The sequence below is a fragment of the Homo sapiens genome, chromosome 15, assembly GCF_000001405.40.
Source record: "Homo sapiens chromosome 15, GRCh38.p14 Primary Assembly".
In the NCBI taxonomy this organism is placed as follows: domain Eukaryota; kingdom Metazoa; phylum Chordata; class Mammalia; order Primates; family Hominidae; genus Homo; species Homo sapiens.
In genome coordinates this window covers 59,600,550-59,609,912 of record NC_000015.10, presented here as the reverse complement: position 1 = coordinate 59,609,912, position 9,363 = coordinate 59,600,550, and positions in this window count along the sequence as shown.

The following is a 9,363-nucleotide window of genomic DNA, read 5'->3' as shown; positions in this document are numbered from 1 at the left end:
AGCCACGGCCATGCTTGTTCTATCTCCTGTCTCCACAAACTCACCAAAATAGACTTGTCTTCACTGTGGTGTCACAAGCTCCTTGAGGGCAGGGATCATGTCTGACTCAGCTGTGTCTTTCCCACAGCGGCTAGCACAAGAACTTGCAGACGGTAGTGTCGAAGCAAAGAGTCAAACTCTGTAAAATATTTGAAGAGATTTATTCTGAGCCAAATATGAGCAACCATGGCCCGTGACACAGCCCTCAGGAGGTCCAGAGAACATGTACCCAAGGTGGTTGGGGCACAGCTTGATTTTATACATTTTAGAGAGGCATGAGACATCAATCAAATACATTTAAGAAATAATTGGTTTGGTCCAGAAAGACGGGACAACTCAAAGGGGGTGGGGGATGGTAGGGGGGTATTTCCAGGCTATAGGTGAATTAAAATATTTTCTGGTTGACAATTGGTTGAGTTTGTCTAAAGACCTGGGATCCACAGAAAGGGAATGTTCAGGTTAAGATAAAAGATTGTGAAGACCAAGGTTCTTTTGAAATCTTATAGTGGCTGCCATTAGAGACAATAGAAAAATATTTCCTATTCGTATCTTTAAAAGGTTCTAGACTCTTAATCACTTTAAGATTGGGAGGGTCTGGAAGAAAAAGATCCAGCTATGTTAACAGAGAGTCTTTACAGATGTAAATTTTCCCCCATGAAGGACAGCTTTGCAGGGCCATTTCAAAATAATGGCAAAGAAACATGTTTTTGGGGTAAAATACTTTGTTTTTCTTCCTTGTCTCATAATGTGATGCCAGAGTCAGGTTGGAAAGTAAATCATGATATATACAGTTAAATAAAGCCCATCTGATGAGAACTGGATTTGTAGGGCATGACTCCCCAGTCCCCTTAGATAGGAATTTGGGCAAGATAAAAAATCAGAGTTTAGTCCTCAGTAGACTTGCTGTGAATATTTCCCGAATGAACAGCTACCTCACTGTCCCTGGGAAGGTCGTCTAAGTCAGAAGTCCCCCTTATCCATGGGGGTACATTGCAAGATGCCCAGTTGGATACCTGGAACAGCAGGTAGTACCAAACCCTACGTATACTGATTTTTTCCTACACATACTGATATAGTTTGAACACATGTTTCTGCCAAATTCTTGTTGAATTGCAATCCCCAGCATTGAAGTTGGGGCCTGATGGGAGATGTTTGGGTCAGGGGGGTGAATCCTTGATGGCTTGGCGCTGTCCTCTCAATAAAGAGTGAGTTCTCATTGGATCTGGTTGTTAAAAAGTGCAGGGCACCTACCCCACCTCTCTACCTCTCTGTCTCACTCACTCCTGCTTTTGCCAAGTGATGTGCAAGCTCCTGTTCTCGCCATGTTAGAATGCCATAAGTAAAAGCTCCCTAAGACCTCCTCAGAAGCTGAGCAGATGCGGGCTCCATCCTTGTACAACCTGCAGAACCACGAGCCAATTAAACCTCTTTTCTTTACAAATGACCCAGTCTCTGGTATTTCTTTATAGCAATGCAAGAACAGCCTGACACACACACATACTTGTCATAAAGTTTTGCAAATTATGCACAGCAAGAGATTAACAACAACTAATAAAACCATTGTAACAGTATATTGTAGTTAAAGTTGTGTGTATGTGGTCTCTCTCTCTCTTCTCTCAAAACGCAAATATTGTTGGACCATTGTTGACTGCAGATAACTGAAACCATGGTAAGTGAAATAGAATAAGGGGGGACTACTGTGCTGGAATCGTGGAAATACAGCTTGTTGGTGGTGTTGGGGGTCAGTAGCTGATGTTCCAAAAATGACACCTTGACCTACTGAAGAAGCCTCAAGTTCTAACCCTCCCACCCACTGTCTCTGAAGCTTAATTTCTATTATCTGCCAAAAATCCAGACCCACCAAGAACAATTGTTTTTTCTTCCCCTCCCTGAAGACCAAGAGTGTAACCACACCTGGACAGACATGTTCACAAGATAATGCTCAAATTAATCTCTGTTCCCTGATCCATTCATTCCCCCTAGTAAACCCCTCAACAGAATTCCTCTTCTCCTCTCTCCTCCCATAACCTATGTTGCCAGGGTGGCATATAATCTTCAGAACCTCCTTGCAGGGCGGCTAACCCCATCTGTGATTCTCCCCAGGTGTGAATTAATACAACTTGCATGCCCCAATTAACCTGCCTTTTGTGAGTTGTGAGTTGACTTTTCAGTGAACCTTCAAAGGATAGGGAACTTTCCCTTGGCCTTCATAGTAGCTACTAGAATTAATGGATAGAAGCTCCCTAAAGTAAACTATATGCAAAAATGTGATGCTACAGGGCTGAAGCTAATAGAAACCCAAACAACATTTTTTTTTTTTTTTGAGATGGACTTTCACTCTTGTCGCCCAGGCTGGAGTGCAATGGCACGATCTCGGCTCACGGCAACCTCAGCCTCCCGGGTTCAAGTGACTGTCCTGCCTCAGCCTGCCTAGTAGCTGGGATTACAGGCATGCACCACCATGCCCAGCTAATTTTGTATTTTTAGTAGAGACGGGGTTTCTCCATGCTGGTCAGGCTGCTTTCAAACTCCCGACTTCAGGTGATCTGCCCGCCTCGGACTCCCTAAGTGCTGGGATTACAGGCGTGAGCTACGGCGCCCAGCCCCCAGACAACATTTTTAAAGGGATTAACTTTGTTTAGGAAACATTCTCAGTTTGAGATGGGATTTGGAGACAGGCTAATGAGATTAAGATGCCTCATAATGACTGGGTGTGGAGGCCCACCCCTGTAATCCCAGCACTTTGGGAGGCTGAGTTGGGAGGATTACTTGAGGCCAGGAGTTTCACACCAGCCAGGGCAACATAGCAAGACCCCTATCTTTTAAAATAAAACAACTTTTTTTAAAAAAAGATGCCTCCTATTGTGTCATTAGGAATCAACTTCTAAATGGAACCAGTAACGAAGGGTATGTAAGATATGGCCATGTTTTATTAATTTATAAATTCCATTTAACCATTGTTTATTAGCCAGGTGCGTAGGCTCATGCCTGTAATCCCAGCACTTTGGGAGGCCAAGGCTGGTGGATCACCTGAGGTCAGGAATTTGAGACCAGTCCGGCCAACGTGGTGAAACCCCATCTCTACTAAAAATACAAAAATTAGCTGGGCATGGTGACGGGATTCTGTAGTCCCAGCTACTTGAACCTGGGAGGCAGAGGTTGCAGTGAGCTGAAATTACACCACTGCACTCCAGCCTGGGCAACAGAGTAACACTCCATCTCAAAAACAAACAAAACACACAATTGTTTACTGAGGAAACTATAAATAGTAAGTACCAGAGATACAAAGTTAATAAAGGCAGTTCCTACTCTCAAGCAGTTCACAGCACTGTGTGGGAAAAATATTTGCGAAAAGATCATTATGATGCCACCTATATTTATTTATTTATTTATTTATTTATTTTTATTTTTTGAGACAGAGTCTCGCGCTCTGTTGCCCAGGCTGGAGTGCAATGGCAAGATCTCAGCTCACTGCAACCTCTGCCTCCCAGGTTCAAGCAATTCTCCTGCCTCAGCCTCCCCAGTAGCTGGGATTACAGGTAAGCACGACCACGCCCAGCTAGTTTTTGAATTTTTAGTGGAGACGGGGTTTTGCCATATTGCCCAGGCTGGTCTAGGACTCCTGACCTCAAGTGATCCACCCACCTCAGCCTCCCAAAGTTCTGGGATTACAAGTGTGAGCTACCACGCCCAGCTGCCACCCATATTTATGATGCCACTTAAAAGTGCAAAGAGAGATGCATTGAATATACTGGAAGCCCAGAGAGAATCATTAAAAAATAGTGCAAACAAATGAGTGTAGGTCTTTGTGAAGTCTAGAAAGAATAAGAATGTGTCTTGGCGCCTCCTGCATTTTCTAGGGAAAGTTCTGGCTAGTAGCTAGAAGAGGTTAAAGAAAATACCCGCTTGGGGCAATCATCAGGAAAAAGAAGGTTGTATCCTTACCCCACACTATAAACATAAGTAAGTTTCAGATTTAAATCTAAAAAGACAGTTCTAAAATTTCTAGAAAATGTATAGAATAGGCCGGGCATGGTCGCTCCCACCTGTAATCCCAGCACTTTGGGAGGCCGAGCTGGGTGGGTGGATCACCTGAGGTCAAGAGTTCGAGACCAGGCTGGCCAATATGGTGAAACCCTATGTCTACTAGAAATACAAAAAAAAAAAAAAAAAAGCCAGGCATGGTGGCGGGTGCCTGTAATCCCACCTACTCAGGAGGCTGAGAAAGGGAGAATTGCTTGAACCTGGAAGGTAGAGGTTGCAGTGAGCTGAGATCATGCCACTGCACTCCAGCCTGGGCAACAGAGTAAGACTCCATCTCAAAAAAATAAAGAATAGAAGCCATGAGCTAAAAGATAGTAATACCATGAAGCCACTTCACCAGTTCTGAACTGCCTCCTCCTGGGCTGTATTTGGGTAAGAGAGAAATAATTCTTATTGTTAAAATAAAAACCTTAGACAAATTTAACAGTTTAACCAAGCAAAGAACAATTCATGAATCAGGCAGCTTCCTGAACCAGAGCAGGCTCCAAGAGACTCCAGCCCTGTTCTATCATTGAAGATAACTTATGGACAGTGAAAAAAAAGTGACTTACAGAAAATGGAAGTGAGCTACAGAAATAGTCAGATTGGTTACAGCTTGGCATTTGTTTTATTGGAATACGGTTTAAACAGTTGTCCTCCTTTGATTGGTAAAAACTCAGTGATTGCTACAACAGTAGGTTGTAGTCGTTACAGTCTGTTTACACATTCAGTTAGGTTACAGTTCACTATGTACCAAGAAACTTTAGGGTAAACTTAACCATGTAAGAAGGCAGTTTTAGGCTAAACTTAACACTAACTGATGGAACCATTACATCTTCAGGTCTCTGACATGAGCACTCATTCATAAGTGCCTAAATCATAGAGATGCCATGTCCTAATGCAGGGACATTTAGAATCACATTAAAAAGGAAAAAAAAAAAGCACTTGTTTCTGAAACTACTTTTGCAGAAAAATCAAATATGGCTGACTCCATCTTGCACCTAGCCTCACAAGCTGTCTTCACTCATTCCTGGGTGTCGCCCAAGCTAATCATGGGAGTAATTTGGTTTATAGTTTAACCTTAAAGTAAGGATAATAGCCCTTACAAAAACTAAACCGCGTTTGTAAAACTAATGAAAGGCCACAAGGTTAGGATTATGAAAGGGGCCTGAATTCTGCTAAAAAGTAGGTATACTTAGCAAGCCAATGTTTGAAGGTCACAAGATCTGTGAATTCTCCAATTATGCCTATAGATAACTTGACTATCACAGAACCCAAGATTGGCCTTTTGAAATGTCTTTTTAGACTTTTGCATTTCTGATGACTGGCTGACTCCACCTTGACCCACAACTCATGACTCAGCGCATGAGGACCACTTTCCACACCCCTATAATGGTATCCTCAACCTATCAACATTCCCCACTCCCTAGCCCCCTGCCTACCAAACTATCCTTGAAAAACCCCAACCTCCAAGCCTTCAGGGAGGTTGATTTGAGTAATAACTGTGTCTCCTGCATGGTATGGCCAGCCTTGTGTCAATTAAATGCTTCCCTTACTGCAATGCCATGGTCTCACAGTGAATTGGTTTTGTCTGTACAGTAGGCAGGAAGAAGCCACTGGGTGATTCCATTGCAGAGGAGTAAAGAGTAGCTTGACTGAGGCCTATGAGGTGTAGAATATGGACTCTAGTTCTCATTCTCTCTACTACTACTTCCTGTACTCTACCCCACCATTACAGCCCAAAGGGTTACTTTTGCCTACTACTCTGAAAAAGCCAACACACCAAAAACAGCAAGTATTGAGAAAGAGAAAGAGTTTAATAATTGCAGGGCAGCCACACAAGAGGGACAGGAGATGTTTCTCAAGCCCATCTCCCCAAGAATTCAGAGGTAGGATGTATTAGTCTGTTTTCATGCTGCTGATAAAGACATACCCAAGACCAGGCAATTTATGAAACAAAGAGGTTTACTGGACTTACAGTTCCACGTGGCTGGGGAGGCCTCAAAATCATGGCAGAAGATGAAGGGCATGTCTCACATGGTGGCAGATAAAAGAAGAGAGCTTGTGCAGGGAAACTCCCCTTTTTAACCCATCAGATCTTGAGAGACTCATTCAATATCATGAGAACAGTGCAGGAAAAACCCATCCACATAATTCAATCACCTCCCACTGGGTCCCTCCAAAGCACGTGAGTATTCAAGATGAGATTTGGGTGGGGACACAGCCAAACCATATCATAGCATTTTTAAAGGTATTTTGGTGGGTAGGGGGATAGGGAACTGAAACAATTGATTGGCTAAGGATGAAATTATAGGGGTATCAAAGCTACAGCTGAGTCAATTCCCAGCTGTAGGTAACAGAACCAGCTGAGTTAGTTTCTTGGTCACAGGTCCAGGTGGTATCTCTTGGTCTGCCAAAATACTAAATCTGAAAAATATCTCAAAGACCAGCCCTTTAAGGTCTCAAAATAGTAATGTTATCTATAGGAGCAGTTTGGGAAGTCACAATCTTTTGATCTCTGGTTTATGACTCTGGGACAGCAGGCAGCTATAGAAAAGCAAGCTAAGCAAGCAATTAATGGCTATTGTTTAACCATGCCTATTTTTTAGCAAAGTTCAAGCCCTCCCATTGTCAGAGGCATGTGAACCAGAGCAACTCCATCTTGAATAGGAGCACAGTAAAATGAGTCTGAAACCTACTGGGCTGCATTCCCAGATGGTTAAGGCATTCTAAGTCACCAGATGAGACAGGAGGTCAGCACAAGATACAGGTCAACAAGACCTAGCTGATAAAATAGTTTGCAGTTAAGAAGCCAGCCAAAACCCACCAAAACCAAGATGGCAATGACAGTGATCTCTGGTCATCCTCACTGCTACAATCCCACCAGTGCTGACAGTTTACAAATGCCATGGCTACATCAGGAAGTTACTCTATATGGTCTAAAAGGGGGAGGCATCAATAATCCACCCCTTGTTTAGCATATCATCACAAAATGACCATCAAAATGGGGAACTAGAAGCCCTCAGGGCTGCTCTGTCTATGGAGTAGCCATGCTTTCATTTCTTTACTTTCTTAATAAATTTGCTTTTGCTCTGCACTGTGGACTCAGCCTGAATTCTTTCTTCCATGAGATCCAAGAACCCTCTCTTGGGGTCTGGATTGGGACCTCTTTCCTGTAACACCGTAATTCTCATCTTGTGGCCTTTTATTAGTCTTTACTAACATGGTTTCAATCTTTAAACCAGGAGGGGATAAGTTTAAGAAAAGGACTATTATGGCCTCCACAAAAAATGAGCAAAAGCAATTTAGCCTGGTAGAAGCAAGATGGAGTCAATTATGTTTGATTTCCCTTACTATTTATAATTTTTGCAAAGGCAGTTTCACTACAACCATCTTCTGTTTCTTAAGAGCACGTTTCAGGAAAATGTCCAGGAAGTAATGCGTCAAAACATTAATCACTGGATTCTGTGATTACTGCCGGTTTGTTTCATCAGTTTTGTAACTTATCTAGAATACACATGCTTTTTGTTCTCTAGCTCTACATCATAATTTAGCATTATGTTTAAATTATTTTAAAATCATTTTAGAAAATACAAAATAGTACTCTCTTTGATTACAGGAGTCAATGTTTTTTTCTTAAACCTCTTCACAGGCCTATGCAAACACATCTAGTCTTTATTAAGGAAAGAATTGTGTGTGAGTAGATGTGTGTGTGTGTTGGACCTCAGAAACCAATACCCCCAAAATATTTTTGAAACTGCCTTTGCAAAAATTGTAACAATGAGAAAATGACGACAGTGAAAAAGCTCTGATCTAACCAACCCCCATCTTTCCTTTACTCTGCAAACTGCCCTTGGTCATTCCTGGGCTTGGACCAAGCTAACTTTCAAAGAAATTTGGATTATAGTTTAAGTTATAACAGCCCTTCCCCAAAACTAAACCAGCTTTGTAAAACTAATGAAAGACACCACATTAGCAGGATGAGAGGAGCCTGAATTCTGCTAAGATGTAGGCGTAAATGATTGCCAGCCATTATTCAAGAGGTCACAAGATTTGCAACTGCCCCAGTTACTCCTGCAGATAACATCACTATTATAAAATCAAAGACTGGCTTTTGGTTTTACAAAACCCAATGAGATGGCTTTTGTAAGATAATGTCCTTTGAGGCTTTTGCATTTCTGATGACCCAAGACCCAAGAATTTTGATTTAACTGCTCCTCTGGCCCATACCCAGCAGTAGACTCAGCCACAAGTACCATTCTCCACACCCCTATGACTGCATCCTCAATCAATCAGCAGCACCCATTCCCCTAACCTCCCTGCCCTGCAAACCATCCTTGAAAAACCCCACCCTCTGAATTTTCAGAGAGGCTAATTTGAGTAATAAAACACCAGTCTCCTTTTTAGCTGGCTCTATGTGCCTCACACTGTTTACTTTTTCTCTATTGCAATTCCCCTGTCTTGATAAATTTGCTGTATCTGGGCAGCAGGTAAAAATAAATCCATTCGACAACTTATCTAGAATGTACATACTTTTTTTTTTTCTCTAAATGTGACCAAAAATGAGCATACCCTTTAAAAAGTATGATGAGACCAGGCATGGTGCCTCACGCCTGTAACCTAGCACTTTGGGAGGCTGAGGTGGGCAGATCAAGAGGTCAGGAGATTGAGACCATCCTGGCTAACATGGTGAAACCCATCTCCACTAAAAAATACAAAAAAATTAGCCGGGCCTGGTGGCAGGTGCCTGTAGTCCCAGCTACTCGGGAGGCTGAGCCAGGAGAACGGCATGAACCCGGTAGGTGGAGCTTGCAGTGAGCCAAGATCGCACCACTGCACTCCAGCCTGGGCAACAGAGTGAGACTCCATCTCAGAAAAATTAAAATAAAATAAAAATAAAATAAAATAAAAATAAATAAAATAAAATAAAATAAATAAAATAAAATAAAATAAATAAAATAATAAAATAAATAAAATTAAATAAAATAAAATAAATAAATAAAATAATAAAATAATAAAATAAATAAAATAAAATAAAATAAAATAAAATAAAATAAAATAAAATATAAAAAGTATAAAGACTGTATCCAAGGATCATTTAAATTCCAAGAAAAACTTTTTTGTTGTTTTTTGTTTTTTTTTCAGACAGAGTTTTGCTCTTGTTACCCAGGCTGGAGTGCAATGGTGTGATCTTGGCTCACTGCAATCGCCATCTGGGTTGAGGCAATTTTCCTGCCTCAGCCTCCCAAGTAGCTGGGATTACAGGTCCCTGTTACCACGCCTAGCTAATTTTTTGTATTT